General features: G+C 46.4%; 1 protein-coding gene, 1 long non-coding RNA gene and 1 pseudogene across 5 annotated transcripts in view, besides 10 other annotated features; 1 reads left to right on the forward strand and 2 right to left on the reverse strand.

Annotated features, from left to right (window-relative positions):
- On the reverse strand, positions 4-5,056 carry MCL1 (MCL1 apoptosis regulator, BCL2 family member). Of its 3 annotated transcripts, NM_001197320.2 has the most exons (4): positions 4,869-5,056; positions 4,289-4,409; positions 3,690-3,937; positions 4-2,937 (listed from the first exon to the last, which is right to left on the reverse strand). In NM_001197320.2, the coding sequence occupies exons 1-4, from the start codon at positions 4,974-4,976 to the stop codon at positions 2,821-2,823; spliced, it is 594 nt and encodes a 197-aa protein (NP_001184249.1). In that variant the 5' UTR covers positions 4,977-5,056; the 3' UTR covers positions 4-2,820. The 3 variants fall into 3 exon arrangements, with proteins under 3 accessions (NP_001184249.1, NP_068779.1, NP_877495.1); NM_021960.5 differs by having other exon boundaries at positions 4,289-5,056; NM_182763.3 differs by lacking the exon at positions 3,690-3,937 and having other exon boundaries at positions 4,289-5,056.
- Positions 3,314-4,513: an enhancer, noted in NCBI's record as "P300/CBP strongly-dependent group 1 enhancer chr1:150550344-150551543 (GRCh37/hg19 assembly coordinates)". NCBI's record gives its function as "activates an origin of replication core promoter dependent on BRD2, BRD4, P300/CBP, MED14 and CDK7 cofactors, with strong dependence on P300/CBP, by STARR-seq in HCT116 cells {active_cell/tissue: HCT116}" and the evidence as "EXISTENCE:reporter gene assay evidence [ECO:0000049][PMID:35650434]".
- Positions 3,314-4,956: a biological region, named in NCBI's record as "P300/CBP strongly-dependent group 1 enhancer GRCh37_chr1:150550344-150551543".
- Positions 3,474-4,192: an enhancer, noted in NCBI's record as "NANOG-H3K27ac-H3K4me1 hESC enhancer chr1:150550504-150551222 (GRCh37/hg19 assembly coordinates)". NCBI's record gives its function as "activates a minimal SCP1, AML or CMV promoter by ChIP-STARR-seq in naive H9 embryonic stem cells {active_cell/tissue: H9 hESC(naive)}" and the evidence as "EXISTENCE:reporter gene assay evidence [ECO:0000049][PMID:30033119]".
- Positions 4,193-4,910: an enhancer, noted in NCBI's record as "NANOG-H3K27ac-H3K4me1 hESC enhancer chr1:150551223-150551940 (GRCh37/hg19 assembly coordinates)". NCBI's record gives its function as "activates a minimal SCP1, AML or CMV promoter by ChIP-STARR-seq in naive H9 embryonic stem cells {active_cell/tissue: H9 hESC(naive)}" and the evidence as "EXISTENCE:reporter gene assay evidence [ECO:0000049][PMID:30033119]".
- Positions 4,827-4,956: a silencer, noted in NCBI's record as "silent region_1303". NCBI's record gives its function as "represses an Ori minimal core promoter by ATAC-STARR-seq in GM12878 lymphoblastoid cells {active_cell/tissue: GM12878}" and the evidence as "EXISTENCE:reporter gene assay evidence [ECO:0000049][PMID:35858748]".
- Positions 4,959-5,253: an enhancer, noted in NCBI's record as "tiled region #9; K562 Activating DNase unmatched - State 1:Tss". NCBI's record gives its function as "activates a minimal TATA promoter and a strong SV40 promoter by Sharpr-MPRA in K562 cells {active_cell/tissue: K562}" and the evidence as "EXISTENCE:reporter gene assay evidence [ECO:0000049][PMID:27701403]".
- Positions 4,959-5,366: a biological region, named in NCBI's record as "Sharpr-MPRA regulatory region 9".
- Positions 5,027-5,366: a silencer, noted in NCBI's record as "silent region_1304". NCBI's record gives its function as "represses an Ori minimal core promoter by ATAC-STARR-seq in GM12878 lymphoblastoid cells {active_cell/tissue: GM12878}" and the evidence as "EXISTENCE:reporter gene assay evidence [ECO:0000049][PMID:35858748]".
- Positions 5,276-27,747, forward strand: part of LOC107985203 (uncharacterized) — a 24,455-nt gene continuing 1,983 nt past the window's right edge. The window contains exons 1-2 of one of the 2 annotated variants that reach the window (NR_186818.1): positions 5,276-5,665; positions 12,973-13,036. This is a non-coding gene — a long non-coding RNA (uncharacterized LOC107985203). The remainder of the gene's footprint in view (positions 5,666-12,972; positions 13,037-27,747) is intronic. The other variant, NR_186817.1, reaches the window with a different exon arrangement.
- Positions 22,931-23,432: an enhancer, noted in NCBI's record as "H3K4me1 hESC enhancer chr1:150569961-150570462 (GRCh37/hg19 assembly coordinates)". NCBI's record gives its function as "activates a minimal SCP1, AML or CMV promoter by ChIP-STARR-seq in primed H9 embryonic stem cells {active_cell/tissue: H9 hESC(primed)}" and the evidence as "EXISTENCE:reporter gene assay evidence [ECO:0000049][PMID:30033119]".
- Positions 23,433-23,932: an enhancer, noted in NCBI's record as "H3K4me1 hESC enhancer chr1:150570463-150570962 (GRCh37/hg19 assembly coordinates)". NCBI's record gives its function as "activates a minimal SCP1, AML or CMV promoter by ChIP-STARR-seq in naive H9 embryonic stem cells {active_cell/tissue: H9 hESC(naive)}" and the evidence as "EXISTENCE:reporter gene assay evidence [ECO:0000049][PMID:30033119]".
- On the reverse strand, positions 25,985-26,065 carry LOC124900445 (uncharacterized; annotated as a pseudogene).

Raw genomic sequence — 27,747 nt, forward strand, 5'->3', positions numbered from 1 at the left:
GTATTTGAATAAAAGATTTATTTTTTTTTCTCAGGAAAAACAGAAAGTTAGGGAAACACACTACATTTGACAACCAACATTAATTTGTAGTTGGTCCTAACCCTTCCTGGCACAGCTATCAAAAGTACAGCTGTTTAACCAGAACCAAGGTGTTCACCCCCCACAGAATGTACATGAAACACTAGAGGACTGCATGTTTTTCCCTGAGAGAAGCGTAAGACAAACAGAAGTCAAAAAGTAGTCACTGGGAGCGCCATCCTTCTAAGCAAATCCTCCCTTTCCCTTTTGGAGGATTTGCCCGAACTACGTAGCCAGTCAGCACTTAGACCACCTGCCTCCTCCTCCCCCTATAAACCCACCACTCCCCTCCTCCTTTCCCAAACCACTTGGGGTGTCCTAAGCCCTCACTGCCCCAAGCCCAAAATATCAACTAAGATCCTTGTCTGTATTTCCACAGTCATACCTAATGAATTGGGAAGTGGGGCCCCTAAAAACCAATTCACATCTATGCACTTGTTTCCACTGGATTTGGCAGACAGGCTTTTTTAGTTACCGTAACCAGATCTTAAGATTAATTAAAAACTACATAAAGTGCTTTTAGGTCCTTAGAGATACATGATATAAATAAGCGGCTTATGATCAAGAACGATAAATACATAGGTAAAAATAGCTCTAGCAAAGATGACCTTATGGCTCTGAGATGGGCAGGCAGGGCAGTTCTTCCCCATTACATTCTTAGTCATCTTATTCATACCTATTTTTAAATGGAGTCCACAGACTAAAGGTCATGTTCCGAGACTGAAGCTTTCAAATGACCCTAGTTCCAATATAGACACTTTCTTCAGTTTATCAGTAGCTTTTAAACTCTGAGGTTTAACACAGCTCACCTCTTTCTGTAAATTTAAGTGAGCATACTCCTATACAAAGGAAACTTTAGAGAAAGCCTCATAAAATGTTCTTTCCTCTGAAAATTCCTGAGGGGACTTTTGACACATTGCCCCCAAAGACAGGATAAAACAATAGTTGAAAAGATACCAGTCCAAGGAAAAGGGACTTCCTCCCACCTCTCAATGACTGTTAGTGTCACAGCACCCATGGTATTACCACCTGCTAACAGGATCAAGTTCGTGAAAGATGAAAGGTCTGTGGACTCTTGGTGGGGAGGGAGGGTCACTCAGGTTTCCAGCAGGGGTTTCACAGTGCCAAAATCTAAAAGGGCTAGAAAGAGTTCAGGGATGGCAGGGGAAAGCTGTAGGAATTGATATAAATATCTGTAGAGGGAGCAGAACAATCAGCAATTTCAAGGAAGGACAGGAAATAAAAGGTTAAGTCTGATAGAACAAACATCAAGACTGAAATCCAAAGATGCCAATGCAAAAACTTGCAACAAGGTTTGGGAATCATTAATAGAAACAAAACAGTAAGTATTTGCTTTATTGACATACTAGGCTTAGACCTGTGTGTGTAACAAGCAAGCCTAATAATAGCACCATGGTTAGACTAGCCTGCTTTTCCAAGCCATCATTTTATAATTTATTAAGCAAACAAGGGATCAAATGTCTCTCCATCCACCTGATGTGATCTTTTTATATGCACACAGCTAATGAGTTCCATTCAGCTGAAAATCTTTTAGTAAAAGCTTTAAAGATGAGCCCATGAATTCACTTTAAATTTCACCAGTTAAATTAGGTCAAATGGAAGGAACTCAAATGAGTATTGCCCAATCAGAGCCCATTATTTGTAAGTCATCAGTAACCTTAAAACTCCACTTAGACCTAATTATTGAAAACTTGCATATAATGAAGTGAAAGAATTTCCATTCATCAACCTCTCAATCCCAGGTTTTCAAAGAAAAACCTAAGGAATACTTACCAAAATCAGATAAGAAAATTTAAACCTGCATAGTTATCAGATTTGTTCCACTACAACCAGTCTGCATACAGTTACACATCAATTCGTTCTGTATACACTCTAGAACTGAACAGAACAAAGTTTAGCATAGAAAAGCTGTAAGAAACAGGTTCCTAATTACGGAAGTTGCAAAGTTCAAAAGGGTATGAAAAAAACTAATGTAAATTCGATACTTCCTTCGTTTCAAAGAAATAGACTTTCTGTAAAAATATATACAATTTTTACAAATACATTTACAAGCTGTCTTAAGAATTGAGGATATCCATATTCATAACTAATTACTGAGCCTTCCGTCAAGTATTATTGGTGATAAACTAGGCTAATAAAGTAAGAATCATGGAAACCAAGCCAAAGTATAACAGGTATAAAAGTCCTGAACACTTGGACTTTCTAAGAAGTATACTGGGAAAGCTAATTAGAGAGAGGAAAAGCTTCCCTTGTACAGTACTGAGGCTTACAGTCATAGTTCTATTACTTGTAACTTTTACACAGGTCACTGGCATTCTTAGTGCTTCTCTTAACACTACAGTAAATTAATGAATTCGGCGGGTAATCAATTCTATGACTTGCCTGGCTACTGGCCACTTTCCTGTTCTCAACAAGGAAATTAAGTCTTTCCACCCTACCATCTTCACTAAATCTAAAAGTCCTCCTCCATAGCTTCCCAAACAAAGTTTGTTTGTTGCTGAAACTGAACTTTGCTTCTTTCAGACAGTGACTCTTCAATCAATGGGGAGCACTCTTCCCATGTATTTATTCTTGTTAGCCATAATCCTCTTGCCACTTGCTTTTCTGGCTAGGTTGCTAGGGTGCAACTCTAGGAAGTTACAGCTTGGAGTCCAACTGCATAAACTGGTTTTGGTGGTGGTGGTGGTTGGTTAAAAGTCAACTATTGCACTTACAGTAAGGCTATCTTATTAGATATGCCAAACCAGCTCCTACTCCAGCAACACCTGCAAAAGCCAGCAGCACATTCCTGATGCCACCTTCTAGGTCCTCTACATGGAAGAACTCCACAAACCCATCCTAGAAAACAAAAAAGAAAAGCACATTTTCAAGTATGGGTTTCTGCTCTCTTACAACACTACTATCCAGAGAGAAGGTAAATTAAAATATCTAAGGTTTCCCCCTAAAGCAATAGTAAACCAATTATTATTCACCCCGGGGCAAAAAAAGAAAATAAGTTCTTCAGTTTCTTAAGCGGGGACCCATGATAATTAAACTTCATTTTACAGTACTATCTTGGTCTTATTAGGATTTATCCTAACAAAAGGACTTCCAGAGTTCCCATGAGGTAAAAGACGAAAACCCTTATTCTCAAATCTCCACCACCTAATATTTCAGTAACGCCTCAATTGCGCAGATCAGTTTTTCTCAACGTAGTTAAGTACATCCTGCATCAGATCTGGGTTTGTTTAAAACGCAGGCTCCACCCCATATCTTCTCCATTAAAACAGGCACCGCCTTAGGAATTATTTCAGCTATCCTCCCCTGGTGACTTATTTTTTCATGGTTTGAATCCACTGAAGAGTATTCAACTGAATTGGAACAAAAAATTGCCTAGAGAAAACCAAGATTTTTGATACAATTCAAGACCGCCATACCACTATCTCTAAGGATCCACTACTTAAATCAACATCAAATAAACAATGGTCCTTTAGTTAGAGCCTGCAAACAGCCGTGCGTCATAAAAACCTTTAGATATCCCCACCTCTCTAAAAAAAATCCTTCATTCTACTTCCACTCCAAGGCCCCTTTCATCCTTAAGGCAAACTTACCCAGCCTCTTTGTTTAACTAGCCAGTCCCGTTTTGTCCTTACGAGAACGTCTGTGATACTTTCTGCTAATGGTTCGATGCAGCTTTCTTGGTTTATGGTCTTCAAGTGTTTAGCCACAAAGGCACCAAAAGAAATGAGAGTCACAATCCTGCCCCAGTTTGTTACGCCGTCGCTGAAAACATGGATCATCACTCGAGACAACGATTTCACATCGTCTTCGTTTTTGATGTCCAGTTTCCGAAGCATGCCTGAGAAAGAAAAGCATGCAGGTCCTCACGGCCTCCTTTGTCTAAACCGGCGCAAGATTCGCCTGCCCACCCGCGGCGGGAAAATCGCTACTGGGATTTACAGAACTCAGGTTGACCCCACTTGAAATTGACATCCCACCCTTTCCGGTCTTTGAACAAGAGCTGCCATTTCCAAAAGAATCAAGATGGGCGGAAACAATGACTCATGGCCAGAATATTCTGGCTTCAGGAATAGGATGAGACACGTTTCAACACTGACTCGTTTCGGTTTCCAACCCACCCTTGGCGGGTGAGTCCGGGGAGAGATGGAAAAAAGGGAGTGAGGCCTTGGCGATTAATGAACCCCCTTACCTTGGAAGGCCGTCTCGTGGTTGCGCTGCACGCCATCCCCAACCCGTCGTAAGGTCTCCAGCGCCTTCCTGCTGGTGGCCCCAGACCTGCCCATTGGCTTTGTGTCCTTGGCGCCGGTGGCCTGCTCCCGAAGGTACCGAGAGATAATCTCCAGCGACTGCCGGTACAACTCGTCCTCCTCCTCCTCTGCTGGCGGCGGCGTCGAGGGTAGTGACCCGTCCGTACTGGTGTTATTACCAGATTCCCCGACCAACTCCAGCAGCGGCAGGACAGCCGGCCGCTTCCCGAGAGGCTCCGGCTCGTACCCGTCCAGCTCCTCTTCGGGCGACATGATGGCGTCAGCGGCCGGGGCTTCCATCTCCTCAAGCGGCGCCGCGCGGCGGGTGGGCGCGAAGAAAAGCAGCCTCGCGGGGGTCGCGGTGACGTCGGGGACCTCGGCGCCAATGGGCGGCGGCCGCGCGACCCTCCGGGAGTCTGGCGTGAGGGTGGACGGGGGGCTTGCGCCGGCGCTTCCGCCAATCACCGCGCCGGCCTCCCCTCCCCCTATCTCTCGCCGGGCCGAGGCCTCCTTCTCCGTAGCCAAAAGTCGCCCTCCCGGGCGGGTGGCGCCGCCGCTGCCGGCCCCCAAGCCGGCCCCCCCACAGTAGAGGTTGAGTCCGATTACCGCGTTTCTTTTGAGGCCAAACATTGCCAGTCGCCGCCGCCGCCTGGCTGAGAAAACTGGGGAAGACCCCGACTCCTTACTGGAAGGAAGCGGAAGTGAGAAGTGGCGAGCAGCTCCTTTATCACGGTTTTAGGGCGGCCAGTCCTACGGGGTGGCGCCAGCGAACTCTTTTTTTTTAAAAAAAGTATTCCCATAAAAGGGGAAAGGGGCGGCAGCTTCCGGAGGGTTGCGCACGGCACCTACCAGCTGCCCGGCCGGGCCGGGGCGGGGCCGGGGCCGGGGCCGGGGCCGGGGCCTGAGCCGGGGCCTGAGCGGGGCCTTCCGGTCTTCGGAGGCTCTGAGTGCCGGTTACGTAACGGCGGCTCCGAGCGCCTGGGGTCCTCCCAGAGCTCCTGGGCTCGAGCTCTTTCCATGAGCACCTCGGGCCTTCTCGTGGCTACCTCTGTGCTTCCCTGAGACCTGATTTGTGAGCCCTTTTTGCTGGTTTTCGCCAGAGGTTTTTTACCAAATCAAAATTTCAACCATTGACTAACACAGGGGTTGAAGGAAGAGGACGGGGAAGTTCAGTGATGGATGGGAACAACAGTCTTAGATGATAGGGATAATTAAGAGGGCATAGTTGGGGACTTGTGGTTATTTTGCACAGCTCTCTACTCTCAGTCCAATGTTTGGAAATGAGGATGCTCCACGTGCTACCCTAAAGAACCATTTATGTAAGTGGACTAAGCTAAAACTGCCACAGCTAAACTATTCCTGCCTCCCTGCTTGCTTCTCCCATCTCTGTTCCATAGTCTTTGGTGCTATTTACATATAGGCCTTAATCCATTAGAATCTCGTCTGAGAGTCTTGACACCATTTTTTGTTTGTTTTGAGACAGTCTAGCTCTGTTGCCCAGGCTGGAGTGCAGTGGGGCGATCTCGGCTCACTACAAGCTCCACTTCCCACGTTCAGACGATTCGGTACCTCAGCCTCCCGAGTAGCTGGGATTACAGGCGTGCGCCACCACATCTGGCTAGTTTTTGTATTTTTGGTAGAGATGGGGTTTTCACGATGTTGGCCAGGCTGGTCTCGAACTCATGGCCTCAAGTGACCTGCCTGTCTCGGCCTCCCAAAGTGCTGAGATTACAGCTGTGAGCCACCTCGCCCAGCTGATTATTGTATTTTTAGTAGAGATGTGTTTCATGCGCGTCTGTGTGAAGACACCACCAAACAGGCTTTGTGTGAGCAACATGGCTGTTTATTTCACCTGGGTGCAGGCGGGCTGAGTCCGAAAAGAGAGTCAGCAAAGGGTGATGGATTATCATTAGTTCTTACAGGTTTTGGGATAGGTGGTGAAGTTGAGAGCAATGTTTTGTGGGCAGGGGTGGATCTCACAAAGTACATTCTCAAGGGTGGGGAGAATTACAAAGAACCTTCTTAAGGGTGGGGGAGATTACAAAGTACATTGATCAGTTCGGGTGGGGCAGAAACAAATCACAATGGTGGAATGTCATCAGTTAAGGCTATTTTTACTTCTTTTGTGGATCTTCAGTTACTTCAGGCCATCTGGATGTATACGTGCAAGTCACAGGGGATGCGATGGCTTGGCTTGGGCTCAGAGGCCTGACAATGTGGTTTCACCATGTTGGCCAGGCTGGTCTCAAACTCCTGGCCTCAGGTGATCCACCTGCCTCAGCCTCTTAAAGTGCTGGGATTACAGGTGTGAGTCACTGCACCCAGCTGACACCATTTATTTTTGTACTGATAATAAGGCACATTTGACTCTAGAGGTTTGTAAAGCCCTTGAGAACAAGGATCTTCTTATATGCCATGTATGTTAGTTAACGTTAATTAAAGCAGCCTTTTTGTTAAAAGATCTGTAAAAATAATAGCTAAAATTCAAAAGCAAGGTGCTGAGAGACATAGGAAAGGTGAGCAAGCTCACTTTTTATTTATTTTTTTGAGATGAGGTCTTGCCCTGTCACCCAGGCTGGAGTGCAGTGGCACCATCAGTGCTCATTGCTGCCTCAACCTCCTGGGCTGAAGTGATCCTCCCACCACAGCCTCGCGAGTAGCGAGGAACACAGGTGCATGCCCCTATACTTGGCTAATTTTTTTATTTCTTGTAGAGATGGGGTATCACTATTTTGCCCAGGCCGGTCTTGAACTCCTGGACTCAGGTGATCCTCCTACCTTGGCCTCCCAAAGTGTTGGGATTACAGACCGGGCTCTGTGCCTCATGCCAATAATCCCAGCACTTTGGGAGGCTGAGGTGGGTGGATCGCTTGAGCCCAGGAGTTTGAGACCAGCCTGGGAAACATGGCGAAACCCTGTCTCTACTAAAAACACAAAAATTAGATGGGTGTGGTGGTGCGCATCTGTAATACCAGCTACTCTGGAGGCTGAGACAGGAGAACTGCTTGAACCCAAGAGACGGAGGTTGCGGTGAGCCAAGATAGTGCCACTGCACTCCAGCCTGGGCAACAGAGCAAGACTTGGTCTCAAAAAAAATAATAATAATAATGAGGCCTGGCGCAGTGGCTCACACCTGCAATCCCAGCACTTTGGGAGGCCAAGGCGGGCGAATCATCTGAGGTCAGGAGTTTGAGACCAGCCCAACCAACATGGAGAAACTCCATCTCTACTAAAAATACAAAATTAGCCGGGCCGTGGTGGCACGTGCCTGTAATCCCAGCTACTTGGAAGGCTGAGGCGGGAGAATCGCTTGAACCTGGGAGGCGGAGGTTGCGGTGAGCTGAGAGTGCGCCATTGCACTCCAGCCTGGACAACAAGAGCGAAACGCCATCTCAAAAATAAATAAATAAATAAAGTGTTGGAATTATAGGCGTGAGTCTCCCTCTTGGCCAAAAGTTCCTAATCCCCAAAATGTCACAGTTTAGTAAGGTGATACGGCGTCCATACCACCCATTTATGTTTTGGGCAGGACCTAGAACCATAGGGGTTTATAGTATGAGTGGCAAGGATAGAGCATTTTGTGGTTATAGTGAATAAGAAATAGTTTCTCTATTTAAGGAATGTCTAATCTTGTACAGCAACTAACCATAATGTGAGATGGAATGTATGCTCTACACAAGGCATTAACAACTTCATTTTGGAGTTAAGAGGTTGGGAAATTCACTTTGGGCTGAGAGAGCTAGAGGAAAGTGTTATGGAGGAGGTAGCTTTGCTCTCATGCTTTATAAAGTAAAATTTTATCAGGTGGTAAAGTGGAAAGAGATTGAGGAAATAGGAGGAGCAATGATTTTTCCTTGTACAGAGGCTAAAAAAGGAAATGCAAGTTTCACTTTAAAATAAATTGCATTTATTCATTATTTGTTATTATTATTTTTTGAGACGGGTATCACCATGTTGCTCAGGCTGGAGTGCAGTGGTGCAGTCTCGGCTCACTGCAACCTTGACCTCCTGAGCTAAAGTGATACTCCTACCTCAGCTTCCCAAGTAGCTGGGACAACAGGCCAGCACCACCATGCCTGGCTAATTTTTGTGTTTTTTTGTAGAGATGGGGTTTCACCATGTTGTCCAGGCCAATCTCGAACTCCTGGCCTCAAGCCATCTGCCCTCCTTGGCCTCCCAAAGTGCTAGGATTATAGGCATGAGCCATTGCAACTGGCCCTGTTTGTTAGGAAACAAGTCTTGGTCGGGCACGGTGGCTCACGCCTGTAATCCCAGCACTTTGGGAGGCTGAGGCGGGCAGATCACGAGGTCAGGAGATCAAGACCATCCTGGCCAACACGGTGAAACCCCGTCTCTACTAAAAAAAAAATACGAAAAATTAGCTGGGCATGGTGGCGGGTGCCTATAGTCCCAGCTACTCAGGAGGCTGAGGCAGGAGAATGGCATGAATCCGGGAGGCAGAGCTTTCAGTGAGCCGAGATCGTGCCACTGCACTCCAGCCTGGGCAACAGAACGAGACTCTGTCTCAAAAAAAAAAAAAGAAAGAAAGTAACAAAGTCTTGCTATGTTATCCAGGATGGTCTACAACTCCTGTCCTCAAGGGATCCTCCCACCTGAGCCTCTTGAATAGCTGGGATTATAAGCATGAGCCACCACACCCAGTTTCAAATACATTTTATTTTATTTTATTTTACTTATTTTTTTTTTGAGACGGAGTCTTGCTCTGTTGCCCAGGCTGGAGTGGAGTGGCACAATCTCGGCTCACCACAACCTCCACCTCCTGGGTTCAACCGTTTCTCCTGCCTCAGCCTCCCAAGTAGCTGGGACTACAGGTGCGCACCACCATGCCCGGCTAATTTTTGTATTTTTAGTAGAGACAGGGTTTCACTATGTTAGCCAGGCCGGTCTCAAACTCCTGACCTTGTGATCCACCTGCCTCAGCCTCCCAAAGTGCTGGGATTACAAATGTGAGCCGCTGCGCCCGGCCTTTTTTTTTTTTTTTTTTTTTTTTTTTTGAGATGGAGCCTTGCTCTGCCGCCCAGGTTGGAGTGCAATGGCGCGGTCTTGGCTCACTGCAACTTCCACCACCCAGGTTCAAGCAATTCGGCCTCAGCCTCCTGAATAGCTGGGACTACAGGCGCGTGCCATTACACCCAGCTAATTTTTGTATTTTTTTTTTTTTTTTGAGACAGAGTCTTGCTCTTTCACCCAGGCCGGACTGCCATGGCGCTATCTCGGCTCACTGCAAGCTCCGTCTCCCGGGTTCACGCCATTCTTCTGCCTCAGCCTCCCGAGTAGCTGGGACTACAGGCGCCTGGCTAATTTTTTGTATTTTTAGTAGAGACAGGGTTTCACCGTGTTAGCCAAGATGGTCTCGATCTCCTGACCTCGTGATCCGCCCACCTCGGCCTCCCAAAGTGCTGGGATTACAGGCGTGAGCCACCGCGCCCAGCCTATGCCCTACTACTGTGCCGACAGCACAGCATCTCCCATCACAACACCATAATCAATCATTTTTACATAATCATTTTCACATATAAGATCATAATTTGGCCAGGCGTGGTAGCTCACGCCTGTAATCCCAGAACTTTGGGAGGCCGAGGTGGGTGGATCACCTAAGGTCAGGAGTTCAAGACCAGCCTGGCCAACATGGTGAAACCCCATCTCTACTAAAAATACAAAAATTAGTTGGGCGTGGTGATGGGTGCCTGTAATCCCAGCTACTGCAGAGGCTGTGGCAGGAGAATTGCTTGAACTCGGGAGGCGGAGGTTGCAGTGAGCTGAGATTGTGCCACTGCACTCCAGCCTGGGTGATAGAGGAAGACTCCATCTCAAAGAAAAAAAAAAAATTCAGGCCCAAGTCTCCCCAGGTAACACTAGCATATAACTAGAGTTCAGTAGTCTCTCAGGAGGTGTGACAGACATTGCTACTCGTCTTAGCCAGTATTTATTTTTTAATTTTTTGAGACGGAGTCTCACTCTGTCGCCCAGGCTGGAGGGCAGTGGCGCGATCTCGGCTCACCACAAACTCCGCCTCCTGGATTCAAGCAATTCTCTGCCTCATCCTCCCAAGTAGCTGCGATTACAGGCACCCGCCACCACACCCAGCTAATTTTTGCATTTTTAGTAGAGATGGGGTTTCACCATGTTGGCCAGGCTGGTCTCGAACTCTTGACCTTGTGATCTGCCCACCTTGCCCTCCCAAAGTGCTGGGATTACAGGCATGAGCCACCATGCATGGCCTAATTTTTGTATTTTTAGTAGAGACGGGGTTTCACCAGCTTGGCCAGGCTGGTCTTGAACTCTTAACCTCATGATCCACCCACCTTGGCCTCCCAAAGTGCTGAGATTACAGGTGTGAGCCACCACGCCCAGCCGTCTTATCCAACATTTATCCTCCCTTTCTTCCTTTCTGACAGAACCCCATTTTTTTTTTTTCAGAATTACAATGTGCTTAGCTTTCCATGACTCCCTTGCCACCCTGAAAATGTTAATAAAACTTTGTCATGGGCGGGATGCAGTGGCTCACGCCTGTAATCCCAGCACTTTAGGAGGCTGTGGTGGGCAGATCACCTGAGGTCAGGAGTTTGAGACCAACCTGGCCAACATGGTGAAACCCATCTCTACTAAAATACAAAAAAATTAGCTGGGCATAGTGGCAGGCACCTGTAATGCCAGCTACTCAGGAGGCTGAGGCAGGAGAATTGTTTGTACCTGGGAGGTGGAGGTTGCAGTGAGCCGAGACTGCGCCATTGCACTCCAGCCTGGGCAACAAGAGCAAAACTCCATCTAAAAAAAAAACAAAAACAAAAACAAAAAAATTAATTAATGAATTTTTTGAAGACAGAGTCTTGCTCTGTCACTCAGGCTGGAGTGCAGTGGCGCATGATCGTGGCTCACTGCAGCCTCGACCTCCTGGACTCAGGTGATCCTCCCACCCTCTCACCTCAGCCGCCCCTCTCCCCTGGCCACCAGTGACTGAAACTACAGGTGTGCACCACTACCCCCTCTTAAACTCCTGGGCTCAAGCAATCACCTGCCTCAGCCTCCAAAAGTGCTGGGTTACAGGTGTGAGCCACCATGTCCAGCCAGTAGTACCTGTTAGTATGTAGTAAGAGCATAGGGGAGTGGTGGGGGCAAAGTTTGAAGTTTGGTGACAGATTGTGAAGGGCTTTCAGTGCTATTGATAAAATTTTAAGCAGGGATGACACGATCGAATTTTGTAATTTAGGAAGCCAAGTCTAGGAGTGGTGGGCAAAGAGGTGGGGAGGCTGGTCCATGGGAATCTAGCTAGGGAGTTGTTGCAATTGTCTAGGGAAAATCTGACAAGGAGTTGAACAAATTTATCAAGAATGGGAAAGGGGCCGGGCGCGGTGGCTCACGCCTGTAACCCCAACACTTTGGGAGGCCGATGTGGGCGGATCACAAGGTCAGGAGTATGAGACCAGCTTGACCAATATGGTGAACTAAAAATACAAAAATTAGCCAAGCGTGTGGCAGGCGCCTGTAATCCCAGCTACTCAGGCTGCTGAGGCAGGAGAATCGCTTGAACCTGGGAGGTGGAGGTTGCAGTGAGCCGAGATCACGCCATTGCACTCCAGCCTGGGTGACAGAGTGAGACTCTGTCTCAAAAAAGAAAAAAGAAAAAAAAAAAAGAATGGGAAAGGATGAAAGGACTTTGATTTGAGAAACATTTCTCAAGGTAGAATCAGCAGGATTTGATGACCAGTTGGATGTGTGACCAAAGAGAAAGGAAGAAGTTTAAGATAACTTCCAAGATTTCCGGCCGGGTGCGATGGCTCAAGCCTGTAATCCCAGCACTTTGGGAGGCCGAGGCAGGTGGATCACCTGAAGTCGGGAGTTCGAGACCAGCCTGATCAACATGGAGAAACCCTGTCTCTACTAAAATTACAAAAAATTAGCCAGGTGTGGTGGTGTGTGCCTGTAATCCCAGCTACTTGGGAGGCTGAGGCAGGAGAATTGCTTGAACCTGGGAGGCAGAGGTTGCAGTGAGCTGAGATCACACCATTGCACTCCAACCTGGGCAACAAGAGCGAAATTCTGCTTCAAAAAAAAAAAAGATTTCTATAATGGGAGGCAGGGTAAGTAGTGATGCTTTTTCAATTATTTATTTATTTTTTATATATTTTTAGAGACAGGTTCTTGCTGTCTCACATAGGCTGGTGTGCAGTGATGCCATCATAGCTCACTATAACCTTGAACTCCTGGGCTCAAGGAAATCTTCCTGCCTAAGTCTCTTTAGTAGCTGGGACTACAGGTGCTGGTCACGCTCATTTTTAAATTGGTTTTTTTTTTTTTTTTTTTTTGAGAGGTCTCACTCTGTCGCTCAGGCTTTAGTGCAGTGGCACTATCTTGGCTCACTGCAACCTCCGTCTCCCAGGTTCAAGCAATTCTGCCTCAGCCTCCCAAGTAGCTGGGGCTACAGGCGTGTGCCACCACACCTGGCTAATTTTTGTTTTAGTAGAGATGGGTCTTGCCATGTTGTCCAGGCTGGTCTCGAACTCCTGGCCTCAAGTGATCTACCTGCCTCAGCCTCCCAAAGTGCTGGGATTACAGGAGTGAGCCACTGCACCTGGCTTACATTTTTTTTTTTTTTTTTTTGTAGAGGCAGGGTTTTGCTATGTTGCTCAAGCTGGTCTCGAACTCAACTCAAAGCATTGGGATTACAGGTATGAGCCACTGTGCCCGGCCAAGTGATGCTTTTAAATAAGGGTGTATATATTTGGAAGACAAGCTTTGTTGGGAAAGATGATACATACTGAGCCAGAAGTGCTGTGAGACTCAGTAGATAAGGAATCCAACAGGCAGTCAGATATGCAGGATTAAGGCTACAGGAATGGTCAGGGCTATAGAAATATTTCAGGAGTTATCAAGAGGTAGATTGTAGTTTAATGAGAAAACAATTAACATTTACTGAGCATCTGTTAAATGGCAGACACTCTGGTGTTTGTGCATGGGTAGGGCACTCATAATTGATGGCCTCAATTTTCTTTGAAAGGGAAACCCAGGCCGGGCGCGGTGGCTCACGCCTGTAATCCCAGCACTTTGGGAGGCCGAGGCGGGTGGATCATGAGGTCAGGAGATCGAGACCATCCTGGCTAACAAGGTGAAACCCCGTCTCTACTAAAAATACAAAAAATTAGCCGGGCGCGGTGGCGGGCGCCTGTAGTCCCAGCTACTCGGGAGGCTGAGGCAGGAGAATGGCGTGAACCCAGGAAGCGGAGCTTGCAGTGAGCCGAGATTGCGCCACTGCGGTCCGCAGTCCGGCCTGGGCGACAGAGCGAGACTCCGTCTCAAAAAAAAAAAAAAAAAAAGAAAGGGAAACCCAGCCGGGTGCAGTGGCTCACACCTGTGATCCCAGCACTTTGGGAGGCTGAGGCGGGTGGATCACAAGATCAGGAGTTCAAGACCAGCCTAGCCAAGATGGTGAAACCCCGTCTCTACTAAAAAATACAAAAATTAGCTGGGGCTGGGCACAGTGGCAGGCACCTGTAATCCCAGCTACTCAGGAGGCTGAGGCAGGAGAATCGCTTGAACCTGGGGAGCGGACATTGCAGTGAGCTGAGATCGCACCACTGCACTCCAGCCTGAGTGACAGAGTGAGACTCCGTCTCAAAAAAAAAAAACAAACAACAACAAAAAAAACAAAAACAAAGGGAAACCCTCAGCCTGGCGCAGTGGCTCACACCTGTAATCCCAGCACTTTGGGAGGCCAAGGTGGGCAGATCACCTGAGGTGGGAAGTTTGAGACCAGCCTGACTAATATGGAGAAACCCTGTCTCTACTAAAAATACAAAATTAGCTGGGCCTGGTGGCGCATGCCTGTAATCCCAGCTACTTGGGAGACTGAGGCAGAATAGCTTGAACCCTGGAGGAAGAGGTTGCCGTGAGCCGAGATCACACCATTGCACTCCAGCCTAGGCAATAAGGGCAAAACTCTGTCTCAAAAAAAGAAAGAAAAAGAAAGAGAAACCCTCTAAGGGGCTAGGGGGTAGGGCATTTAGGCAGTCTTGATGAGAAGAGTTTGGGACTGCTCCTTTAGAACTTCACCACTTTATCATTCTTACAGAGAATGCTCCTGTCTTTGGTGATGCTTTCTTCTTCCAATGAATTGGAAATCAAAGATGAATTCTTTTCTACTTTACCTTTGAAATTTAGCTATATTCACAGTTGAAGAGCATAGGCTTTGATGCCAGATAGATGTGGGTTTGAATCTGCTTCTGCCCCTTACTAGCTGAGTGACCCTGCCTGAGTAATTAACGTTCTTGGTCTGTTCCCACAGCTATAAAATGAGTAAAACAACTACCTTGCTGGGTTATTATGGATTAAATGAATAATGAAAGTAAACAATTAGTTCAGTCCCTTCACATAATTAGTACTGAAGAAAAGATATTATTATTATTATTATTTTTGAGATGGAGTCTCACTCTGTCGCCCAGGCTGGAGTGCAATGGCATAATCTTGTCTCACTGCAACCTCTGCCTCCTGAGTTCAAGCCATTATCCTGCCTCAGCCTCCTGAGTAGCTGGGATTACAGGTGCCTGCCACCACTCTCGGCTAATTTTTTGTATTTTTAATAGAGACGGGGTTTCACTATGTTGGCCAGGCTGGTCTCAAACTCCTGACTTTGTGATCTGCCCGCCTCAGCCTCCCAAAGTGCTGGGATTACAGATGTGAGCCACTGCACCCGGCCAAGAAAAGATATTATTTCTGAGATGCAGTCTCACTCTGTTGCCCAGGCAAGTGGCAGTGGCAGTGGCTTGATCATAGCTTATTGCAGCCTTGAACTCCTTGGCTGAAGTGATCCTCCTGCCTTGGCCTCCCAAGTAGCTGGGACTAAAAGCACACACTACCACACATAGGTAATTAAATTTTTTTTTTTTTTTTTTTTTGGAGAGACAGAATCTTGCTATGTTGCACAGGCTGGTCTTAAACTCCTGGGTTCAAGAGCTCTTCCCACACCAACCTCCCAAAGTGCTGGGATTATAGGCATGAGCCACCTCACCCACCCTATTATTATTATTAGTCCTCCCAACAACTCTTAAGAAAAACATATCATATTCTTATCCCCATTTTTTATACAAAAAGAAAATTAAATGTAGATTTGGGAATTTATAGCCAGCTTTTAATTGATGGCTAGCATTTGAATTCAAGTCTAATTGTAGAGCCCTTTCTTATCCAGGAAGACTATGTAACAGGAGAAAGGAGGACCATGTAGAACTCTGAGGAATACCAATGTTTAAGAGGTGGGCAGGAAAAGAGAAAGAAGAACCAGAGATGAATTGTTTAAGTATTAGTTTTTGGGGGCTGCCATAACAAAGTACCAAAGGCTCAGTGGCTTAAACAACAGAAATTTATTTCCTCACACTTCTGGAGGCTAGAAGTCCAAGGTCAAGGTATCGAAGGTTGTTTCTTCTGGGGCCTCTTATAAATGGCTGTATCTTGTCCGGTGCCCTTTTTTTTTTTTTTTTTTTTTTGAGATGGAGTTTCACTCTTGTTACTCAGGCTGGAGTGCAATGGTGCAATCTCAGCTCACTGCAACCTCTGCCTCCCAGGTTCAAGCAATTCTCCTGCCTCAGCCTCCCAAGTACCTGGGATTACAGGCACATGCCCCCATGCCTGGCTAATTTTTGTATTTTTAGTAGATACAGGTTTTCACCATGTTGGCCAGGCTGGTCTCAAACTCCTGACCTCAGGTGATCCACCAGTCTCAGCCTCCCAAAGTGCTGGGATTACAGGCGTGAGCCACCGTGCCCGGCCAACCTTAGTTACTTCTTTAAAGACCCTTTCTCCAAATGCAATCCCAGGCTGAGGTACTGGGGGTTAGGACTTCAACACAGGAATTTTGGGTAGCGAGAAGGGAGGCAAAATTCAGTCCCTAACACTCTGTGATATGTTTTCATGGCACCCTTTATTTTCCTTCACAGTATATATTATATATACATACACATACACACATAGACATAGTATATATGTAGTTATTTCTTTAGTTATTTGTTGAATTACTGTATCTACATTTCTAGAAATTGTTCCTTTAAAAATCTTTTTTTTTTTTTGTCAGATTCTTGCTCTGTCACCCAGGCTGTAATGTAATGGCGTGATCTCGGCTCACTGCAACCTCTGCTTCCCGAGTTCAAGCAGCTCTCCTGCCTCAGCCTCCCGAGTAGCTGGGATTACAGGCATGTGCCATCACGCCCAGCTGATTTTTGTATTTTTAGTAGAGACGGGGTTTCACCATGTTGGCCAGGCTACTCTCGAACTCCTGACCTCCTGATCTGCCTGCCTTGCCCTCCCAAAGTGCCGGGATTACAGGTGTGAGCCACCGCACCTGGCCTGTTTTTTTTTTTTTTTTTTTTTTTTTAAACCAAGCAATGGTTATGGAAGTCTTGTCATTTTTAGTGATTTATTCCCTAGTGATACATTATTTTTTCTGTCCGGTGCTTGAATCAGGCTTTTATATATATTAAACATACTTCTTTTTTGTTTTGTTTTGAGATGGAGTCTTGCTCTGTCACCCAGACTGGAGTGCAGTGGTATGATCTTGGTTCAGTGCAACCTCCGCCTCCCGGGTTCAAGTGATTCTCCTGCCTCAGCCTCCCAGGTAGCCAGGACTACAGGCACGTGCTACCACGCCCGGCTAATTTTTGTATTTTTGGTGGACACGGGGTTTCACCATATTGGCCAGGCTGGTCTCCAACTCCTGACCTCAGGTGATCCACGCACCTCCGGTCTCCCACAGTGCTGGGATTACAGGTGTGAGCCACCGCTCCTGGCAAACATACTTCTTTATATGCAGCAATATAATTCTAATATCCAAAGTCTCTGTGGGCATAATTCTGCTATTTATGATTTCTGCTCATTCTCATTTATGGTGGCCTACTTCCTGTTGCTTTGTGTTTGTGGGATTTTTATTAGTGAACACATATTCAAAGGAACTTAACAATAGGGATTTTTTTTCCTTATAGTTTATCATCTGAACTCCAGGGATTTTTTTTAGGTTTGCCTTGAAGGTGACTTTCTCCAGAGAGGATCTGTATTTCGTTCTCTGCAGTGCCTGACAATTAGGTTACTATCACCCTGTAACTACTTTAAAATAAATTCTGGGCTTGGTCGGGCTTGGTGGCTCATGCCTGTAATTCCAGCACTTTGGAAGGCCCAGGTGGGCAGATCACTTGAGGTCATGAGTTCGAGACCAGCCTGGCCAACATGGCGAAACCCGTCTCAACTAAAAATACGAAAATTAGTCGGGCATTGTGGTGGGTGCCGGTAATCCCAGCTACTTGGGAGGCTGAGGCAGGAGAATGGCATGAACCCGGGAGGCAGAGGTTACAGTGAGCCAAGATCACGCCATTGCACTCCAGCCTGGGCAACAGAGGGAGACTCCATCTCAGTAAGTAAGTAAATAAGTAAGTAAGTAAGTAAATAAATAAATAAATAAAATTCTGGGCTTGAAGTGTTTCTGTCTATTCAGGTAGTATAAACTTAGACTATAAACTCATGAAGACTAGCCTGTGAATACTCAGGGGAGGTCTTCACAATCCTCGACTTCCACCCCTGATTCAGAGCCAAGATTGCAGTAGGGACATTTCCTTGCTGTCTCTTTTTTCAAGGTGGGTATTTACTGGTTTACCCTTTCCTTTTTTTTTTTTTTTTTTTTTTTTGAGACGGAGTCTCGCTTTGTCACCCGGGCTGCAGTGCAGTGGCGCAATCTCGGCTCACTGCAAGCTCCGCCTCCCAGGTTCATGCCATTCTCCTGCCTCAGCCTCCAGAGTAGCTGGGACTACAGACACCTGCCAGCACACCGGGCTAATTTTTTGTATTTTTAGTAGAGACGGGGTTTCACTGTGTTAGCCACCATGGTCTCGATCTCCTGACCTCGTGATCCACCCGCCTCGGCCTCCCAAAGTGCTGGGATTACAGGCATGAGCCACCGCACCTGGCCTGGTTTACCCTTTCATTGACAGTGGAGCCTGTGCCCACTGCATTAAAGTTGAAGCTCTGTCACTGGCGATTTGGCAGATTCCCCTAGAGCTGTCGCCAATTCCAGCCATATGTGTCTTGAATTCATGCTTTTTGCTTTTTATATTCAAGCTGGTGGTTTTAGGTGTTTTATTTATTTATTTTTTTTTTATACGGAGTCTTGCTCTGTCGCCTAGGCTGGAGTGCAGTGGTGCGATCTTGGCTCACGGCAAGCTCCAACTCCCAGGTTCACGCCATTCTCCTGCCTCAGCCTCTCGAGTAGCTGGGACTACAGGCACCCACCATAATGCCCAGCTAATTTTTGTATTTTAGTAGAGACAGGGTTTCACCATGTTGGCCAGTCTGGTCTTGAACTCCTGACCTCAAGTGATCTGCCCTCCTCAGCCTCCCAAAGTGCTGGGATTACAGGCGTGAGCCACCATGCCTAGCCTCACCACTCTTTTTCTGGCACCTGGCCCTGTGACTGGTTTTGTGGAAGACAATTTTTCGATGGATCTTTTGGGGGCGGGGGTGCAGGAGCTGGGAATGGTATTGGGATGAAACTGTTCCATCAGATCATCAGGCATTAGATTCTCATAAGGAGGACGAAACCCAAATCCCTTGCATGCATAATTCATGATAGGGTTTGCAATCCTATGAGAATCTAATGTCTGCTAATCTGACAGGAGGCGGAGCTCAGGCTGTGATGCTCACTTGCCAGTCACTCATCTCCTGCTGTGCAGCCCGGTTCTTAACAGGCCATGAACTGGTGCTGGTCTGCAGCCCAGGGTTTGGGGACCCCTGTCTCATTGAATATATGAAATTGGGAAGAAAGTCAGGAGTTCCTAAAAGGACAAGAGAGGAAAAAAATTCAGATAAGGACTGAAAAAAAGGTTATTGTATTTGGCAATTAGGCATTTTGAGAATAGATGTAGTAAAGTCATAAGGATAAAAGCTTAATTTCAGTGGGTTGACAAATTAAGAGAGCTGAAGAAGGTATAGAAAATAAAACTTCTGGCCGGGTGCGGTAGCTCACACCTGTAATCCCAGCACTTTGGGAGGCCGAGGCAGGCAGATCATGAGGTCAGGAGATCCAGACCATCCTGGCTAACACGGTGAAACCCCGTCTCCACCAAAAAATACAAAAAAATTAGCCGGGCATGGTGGCGGGCACCTGTAGTCCCAGCTACTCAGAAGGCTGAGGCAGGAGAATGGCGTGAACCCAGGAGGCGGAGCTTGCAGTGAGCCGAGATCACGCTACTGCACTCCAGCCTGGGTGACGGAGCGAGACTCCGTCTCAAAGAAAAAAAAGGAAGAAAATAAAACTTCCAGGCCAGGTGCAGTGGCTCACGCCTGTAATCCCAGCACTTTGGGAGGCCGAGACGGGCGGATCACCTGAGGTCAGGAGTTCGAGACCAGCCTGACCAACATGGAGAAACCCCGTCTCTACTAAAAATACAAAATTAGCCGGGCGTGGTGGTGCATGCCTGTAATCCCAGCTACTCAGGAGGCTGAGGCAAGAGAATCACTTGAGCCTGGGAGACGGAGGTTGTGGTGAGCCGAGATCGCGCCATTGCACTCCAGCCTGGGCAACAAGAGTGAAACTCCGTCTCAAAAATAATAATAAATAAAATGAAAATAAAACTTCTGGCCAGGCGTGGTGGCTCACGCCTGTAATCCCAGCACTTTAGGAGGCTGAGGTGGGCGGATCACGAGGTCAACAGATCGAGACCATCCTGACCAACATGGTGAAACCCCGTCTCTACTAAAAATACAAAAATTAGCTGGGCGTGGTGGTGCGCGCTTGTAGTCTCAGGTACTCAGGAGGCAAAGGCAGGAGAATTGCTTGAACCCGGGAGGCGGAGGTTGCAGTGAGCCGAGATTGTGCCACTGCACTCCAGCCTGTTGACAGAGTGAGACTCCATCTCAAAAGAAAATAAAACTTTTTTTTCAAGAAATGTTAGAGTGAAGAGAAAGCAGAAGGGTGGTTGGGTTGAAGAAAGATTATTCAGAAGGAGGGAATCAAACATATTTGTAAGTTAAAGAGAATGACCATGCAGAATAAAATACATTATAAAAGAGAAAGGATAAGTGTTAGGGTGCAGTATTTCAGAAGAGACAGATGAGAGGGTAAAGGTCTGAGTTATAAGGCCTTTGTAAGGAGATCCTCTTCTTCAGCCAGGCAGGAAGATACATACAGATGGGTGCCCTCACAGTTTAGAGGTCAAAAGGAGGAATACGGCCGGGCACAGTGGCTCATGTGTGTAATCCTGGCACCTTGGGAGGCTCAGATGGGAAGATCCCTCAAGCCCAGGAGACCAGCCTGGGCAACATAGTGAGACCCCGTCTCTAAAAAAACATTAAAAAAAAATAGCCAAGTGTGGCGGTGTGCACCTGTGGTCCCAGCTCCTCAGAGGCTGAGGTGGGAGGATTGCTGGGGCCTGGGAAGTTGAAGCTGCAGTGAGCTGTGATGGCGCCACTATACTCCATCTTGGGCGACAGAGTGAGACCTGGTCTGGGGGAAAAAAAAGAAAAAGAGAGAAAAAGAAGAGAGAAAGAGAGGAGAGAGAGAGGGAAAGAAGGAAAGAAGAGATAGAGAAAGAGCACTTTGGGAGGTCGAGACGGGTGGATCACCTGAGGTCAGGAGTTGGAGAACAGCCTGGCCAACATGGCAAAACCCTTTCTCTACTAAAAACACAAAAACTAGCCGGGCATGGTGGCAGGTGCCTGTAATCACAGCTACTCGGGAGGCTGAGGCAGGAGAATCGCTTGAACCTGGGAGGTGGAGGTTGCAGTGAGCTGAGATCATGCCACTGCACTCCAGCCTGGGTGACGGAGCGAGGAAAAAAAGGAAGAGAAGAGAAGGGAGGGGAGGGGGAGGGGGAGGGGGAGGGGAGGGGGAGGGGGAGGGGAGGGAGGGGGAGGGGAGAGGGGGAAGAGGCCAGGTGTGCTGGCTCATGCCTGTAATCCCAGTGCTTTGGGAGGCCAAGGCAGGTGGATCATTTGAAACCCTGTCTCTACTAAAATACAAAAATAATTAGCCAGTTGTGGTGGCGGGTGCCTGTAATCTCAGCTACCAGGGAGGCTGAGGCAGGTTAATTGCTTGAACCTCGGAGGCAGAGGTTGCAGGAAGCTGAGATCCTGCCGCTCTACTACTCCAGCCTGGGGGAGGGGAGGCGAGGGGGAAAAGGAAAAGGAAAGGGAAGAACGCTGGAGAATGTGGCACTGGTTTATTATCCTTTTGAGGCCGACTGTAAGGTGGTCTACAAAAGGCAAAGGCTGGGACTAGAAAGAGGTGCTTAAGGAGAGCAGCTGTGAGAAATTGACAAGGCATTTGGCTCCCCATGAGGACTGCCAAGTTAAGGCTGGAAACCACATACTGGTACCAGTTCCGACTCATGATTAACTAATGCTCTCCTATAAAACAGATGCCAACACTCAGAAGGAGAGAAAACACATCTGTGTCCTCAATACCTAGAACAACTGTTGGCATATCAACAGGCCCTCAATAAATATTTCTTGAATGAGCAAATAAACATAAAGTTTACATTGATCTAGAACTGGGGAGGGGTGAGGTGGTTGGGACCAAAGAACAAAAGACAAAGGTAACTGAGGGTGTGGTAAAAGTGTCTTGAGATCATTGTCCATGAAGTCCAAGGTGGATAAGGAAAGAAGTGAAGCCAGAAAGGATATGGTAGATTGGAACTGTAGTTGACCCAAACTAGGTGATACAAAATTGAAGAATGAATGACAATTTATAGGTGTTTAGAAAATTTGTGGGTTCTGAAATGAAAGAAGCAGATCTTTAGAGGAAATGACCCAGTGACCCAGATGACTTAAGCCTAAGAAATGGGTAGAAAACTTGTTTACTATTAAATTTAAATTTTTCTCCTTTTGGGCTGGGCGCGGTGGCTCACACCTGCAATCCCAGCCCTTTGGGAGGCCGAGATGGGCGGATCACCTGAGGTCGGGAGTTCAAGACCAGCCTGACCAACATGGAGAAACCCCATCTCTACTAAAAATACAAAATTAGCTGGGCGTGGTGGTGCATGCCTGTAATCTCAGCTACTAGGGAGGCTGAGTCAGGGGAATTGCTTGAACCTGGGAGGCAGAGGTTGTGGTGAGCCGGGATTGTACCATTGCACTCCAGCCTGGGCAACAAGAGCAAAACGCTGTTTCAAAGAAAAAAAATTTTTTTTCTCCTTTTGGCTTGAGACACAGAACTCACACCTCTCTTCTGTGAAGTCTACAATGGGGCCTGTAGCTGCACATTCCAGTTGAACTAGGCTCCCAGTTGCTATTGGCTGAGCAGACAATGCAAACAATACTCAGAATCCTATTAACTAACAATGGATTAACACCAAATTAGAAGTGTCTAGTGCATACTGTTCTGAGTGCTGTCCTATTCAATGTTTGTACAAATGGTTTAGTTAAGAACGTTGATGACAGATTATCACATTTGTAGACATCAATAATCTAGTAGAGATAATATGCTGGATAGCAGAATCAGAATATAAAGAGATCTTGGCAGGCAGGACCAAATCTAACGAGGTGGGGTTTTTTTTGTTTTGTTTTGTTTTTTCATTTTTTAGAGACAGGGTCTCTATATGCTGGAGCACAGCTGCTATTCACAGGTGCATTCATAGCACACTACAGCCTTAAAACTCCTGGCCTCAGATGATCCTCTAACGTTAGCCTCTGAAGTAGCTGGGACTATAGGCATACCCCACTGCACCTAGCTAAGATGCAGTTTAAATGGGTCAAATGCAAAGTTCAGTGCAAAGGTTAAAAAAAATAAAGTGGCCGGGCACAGTGGCTCACGCCTGTAATCCCAGCACTTTGGGAGGCTGAGGCGGGTGGATCGCCTGAGGTCGGGAGTTCGAGACCAGCCTGATCAACATGGAGAAACCCTGTCTCTACTGAAAATACAAAATTAGCTGGGCGTGGTGGTGCATGCCTGTAATCCCAGCTACTCGGGAGGCTGAGGCAGGAGAATTGCTTGAACCTGGGAGGCAGAGGTTGCAGTGAGCCAAGATCGCGCCATTGCACTCCAGTCTGGGCAACAAGAGCGAAACTCTGTCTCAATAACTAAATAAATAAATAAATAAAAATAAAGTGTCAGGGCATGGTGGCTTACACCTATTATCCCAGCACTTTGGGACGCTGAGACAGGAGAATCAATTGCGTTCAGGATTTTTTTTTTTTTTTTTTTCTGAGATGGAGTCAGTTCCTGTCGCCCAAGCTGGAGAGCAGTGATGCGATCTCGGCTCACTGCAACCTCCACCTCCTGGGGTCAAGCGATTCACCTGAGGCCAGGATCTTGAGATGCTGTGTGCCTGTAGTCCTAGCTACTTGAGAGAAACTAAGATGGGAGGATCTTTTGAGCCTAGGAGTTCAAGGCTACAGTGAGCTATGATCTCACCCATGTATACCAGCCTGTGTGACAGAGCAAGATCCTGTCTCTAAAAAATAACTTAGGAGAGACAACAAAAATATGGGCAAAATAAGGAGTTAAAATGGAGGACAATACAAATGGTATATACATACATGCCCATACACATATACCTATAATCTCTACACACGCATGTATGTATATGTGTGCATGTGTAACTTTTGCTTATCTTTCATTCTGGCAAAAATGTAAATGACCAGGCCAGGTGTGGTGACTCATGCCTGTAATCCCTGTACTTTGGGAGGCCGAGGCAGGCGGATCAACTGAGGTCAGGAGTTCAAGACCAGCCTGGATAACATACAGTGAAACCTTGTCTCTACTAAAAAATACAAAAATTAGCCGGGCATGGTGGTGTGCACCTGTAATCTCAGCTACTCAGGGGGCTGAGGCAGGAGAATTGCTTGAACCCAGGAGGTGGAGGTTGCAGTGAGCCAAGATCATGTCACTGTAGTCCAGCTTGGGTGACAGAGTGAGATTCTGTCTCTAAAATAATAATAATAGGCTGGGCGCGGTGGCTCACGCCTGTAATCCCAGCACTTTGGGAGGCCGAGGCGGGCGGATCATGAGGTCAGGAGATCGAGACCATCCTGGCTAACACGGTGAAACCCCGTCTCTACTAAAAAAATACAAAAAATTAGCCGGGCATGCTGGTGGGCGCCTGTAGTCCCAGCTACTCGGAGGCTGAGGCAGGAGAATGGCGTGAACCTGGGAGGCGGAGCTTGCAGTGAGCCGAGATTGTGCCACTGCACTCCAGCCTGGGCAACAGAGCAAGACTCTGTCTCAAAAAAAAAAATAAAATAAATAAAATAAAATAAAATAATAATAATAAATTAAATGACCACTCATATCTAATATCAAGTATTAGAAAAGTATGGGCAAATGGCCTATAGCAGTCTTACAAGGTTGGTGGGAATATAAATCAATTTAGGGCAATCTGTAAGTACATATTACAATTTTTTTCAACAGTGTAAGGAGGTTTTTGTTTGTTTTTTTGTTTTGTTTTGTTTTGTTTTTGAGATAGATTCTTGCTCTGTTGCCAGGCTGGAGTGCAATGCCATGACCTTGGCTCACTGCAACCTCCGCCTCCTGGGTTCAAGCGATTCTCCTGCCTCAGCCTCCCAAGCAGCTGGGACTACAGGCGCCTGCCACCACGCCCAGCTAATTTTTGTATTTGTAGTAGAGACAGGGTTTCACCATGTTGACCAGGATGGCTTCAATCTCTTGACCTTGTGATCTGCCCGCCTTGGCCTCCCAAAGTGCTGGGATTACAGATATGAGCCACTGCACCCGGCTGTAAATAGTTTTTAAATTGTGGATATGTAACAATAGACAAAATTATTTAAAGTCAATAAATTTTTATTCAAGGAATTCCATGTTGTGATTTCTTCCACTGTCCATCAAGGTCACTTTAGATCCTCTAAAGAGCTGGAGTCAAAAGATTTATCTTCAAGTTAGCCTTTTTAATGAAACTGATCCAGTTGTCCTGTCAGCCCATAATTACTTTGGCTTCCTGTCGTCTCCTTTTAATGTGGATATACTGATGAAGACTTCAAAATTCACCAAGAATCTTTGGGATCTAATTTCTTCAACCAATTTACTTTAGGGTCCTTTATACTGTCGGTCGTGGGGATCTGCCAGGTTATCAATTTGACACCTTAAGCCATCTCACTCAAGAATAGTACAGATGTGTGGAATATGCCAATACCTTTAACTCCAGACATCATGTTCTCAAGATAAAAGCTTTTAAAACAAAAAGCCATCGTATGTCTCATCAACATGAAATTGGAATGCAAAATTAATACTGCTGAGGATTTCCCTCATATCCCATGCTGTTTAACTATCTATTCTACAGTCCTAGAATCAATCTTTTTTTTAGGAGACAAGGTCTTTGTTACGAAGGCTGGAGTAGAGTGGTGCCATCAAAGCTCAGTGCAGCCTCCAACTCCTGGGCTCAATCCTTTTGCCTCAGCCTCCCCTTCCTGAGTAGCTGCAACTACAGGCACACGCCCCAATACCCAGCTAGTTTTTAAATTTTTGTGGAGATGAGGTGTTTGTTACTTTCTTGCCCAGGCTGGTCTTGAACTCCTGGTTTCAAGCAATACACCCACCTCAGTGTGGGGATTGCAGACTTGAGCCACTGCACCTGGCCTGGAACCAACCTTTATGGCTATCAATACTCCCATCAGTTAACTGTCTCAGGTATCATAATATCCCTTCTTATATGTATCAAAACTCATACTGAACAATGAGTTCTGGGTTGCAAAAAGTACATATTAAAATTTTAAATGCTGGGCACGGTGGCTCACACCTGTAATTCCAGAACTTTGGGAGGCCGAGGAGGGCAGAGCACGAGGTCAGGAATTTGAGACAGCCTGACCAATATGGTGAAACCCCGTCTGTATTAAAAATACAAAAATTAGCTGGGCATGGTGGCACGTGCCTGTAGGCCCAGCTACTCAGAGGCTGAGGCAGAAGAATCGCTTGAATCCGGGAGGCAGAGGTTGCATTGAGCCAGAATCCGGGAGGCGGAGGTTGCATTGAGCCAAGATTGCGTCACTGTACTCCAGCCTGGGCAACAGAGCAAGACTCTGTCCCTTTAAAAAGAAAAAAAAAATTTAAATGTGCATACCCTGTGACCCAGCAACTTTCAATATTTACCGTAGAGAGGCCAGGTGCAGTGGCTCATGCCTGTAATCCCAGCACTTTGGGAGGCCGAGGTGGGTGGATTACCTGAGGTCAGGAGTTTGAGACCAGCCTGGCTAACGTGATGAAACCCCGTCTCTACAAAAAAATTACAAAATTAGCCGGGCGTGGTGTTGCATGCCTGTAATCCCAGCTACTCAGGAGGCTGAGGCAGGAGAATCGCTTGAACCCAGGAGGCAGAGGTTGCAGTAAGCAGAGATCATGCCATTGCACTCCAGCCTGGGCGACAAGAGCAAAACTTTGTCTAAAATAAAATAAAACAATATTATATATATATATATTTATAATATATTTATATTTATATATATTTATAATATATTTATATTTATATATATTTATAATATATTTATATTTATATATATATTTATATTTTACCCTAGAGAAATACTCCCATATGGCACTAAGAGGCATAAAGAATTTTCACTGAAACATTGTAATAGCAAACAATTGGAAACAATCTATATGTCCAACAACAGAATGGTTAAGTAAGCTGTGATACATTCATACTATAGGATACAATATAACAGTTCTTATGAATGAGACATCTTTATATGTATTGAGATGCAAGTTCTCTGAAACATGTTAAGGGTAAAAAGAAGATCTGGAATAATACAAACCATGTGATACTTTTTTTTTTTTTTTTTTTTTTGAGACAGGGTCTGGCTCTATTGCCCAGGCTGGAATCCAGTGGCACTATCATGGCTCATTGCAGCCTTGACCTCCAGGGCTCAAGCAATCTTCCCACCTCAGCCTCCCTGTAGCTGGGACTACAAGTGTGTGCCACCACACCTGGCTATTTTTTAGTTTTTGTAGACACAAAACTATGTTACCCAGGATGGTCTCAAACTCCTGGCCTTGAGTGATTTTCCTGCCTTAGCCTCCCAAAGTGCTGGGATTACAGGTGTGAGGCACTATGCCCGGTTCATTTATGTTTTAAAAGTCTCATATAACTAGCCGGGTGTGGTGGCTCATGCCTATAATCTCAGCATTTTGGGAGGCCAAGGCAGGCAGATCGCTTGAGTCCAGGAATTCAAGATCAGCCTGGGCAACATGGCAAAACTCTGTCTCTACAAAAAATATACAAAAATTATCCAGGCGTGGTGGCATGTGCCTGTAGTCCCAGCTACTCTGGAGGCCAAAGTGGGAGGATTACTTGGTCTGGGAGGCAGAGGGTGCAGTGAGCCAAGATCATGCCACTACACTCCAGTCTGGGCAACAGAGTGAGACCGTCTAAAAAAAAAAAAAAATTCCCATATATTTCTACAT

The sequence above is a fragment of the Homo sapiens genome, chromosome 1 (assembly GCF_000001405.40).
Source record: "Homo sapiens chromosome 1, GRCh38.p14 Primary Assembly".
Classification (NCBI taxonomy): Eukaryota; Metazoa; Chordata; class Mammalia; order Primates; family Hominidae; genus Homo; species Homo sapiens.

What these genes read in the sequence shown, in the direction of transcription:
- MCL1 (NM_021960.5), bottom strand. Translation starts at nt 4,976, where the DNA reads ATGTTTGGCCTCAAAAGAAACGCGGTAATCGGACTCAACCTCTACTGT. An exon ending in CCACGAGACGGCCTTCCAAG is followed by an intron (nt 3,938 to 4,288) that starts GTAAGGGGGTTC and finishes TTTCTTTCTCAG; the next exon opens with GCATGCTTCGGAAACTGGAC. An exon ending in TAGTTAAACAAAGAGGCTGG is followed by an intron (nt 2,938 to 3,689) that starts GTAAGTTTGCCT and finishes TTTGTTTTCTAG; the next exon opens with GATGGGTTTGTGGAGTTCTT.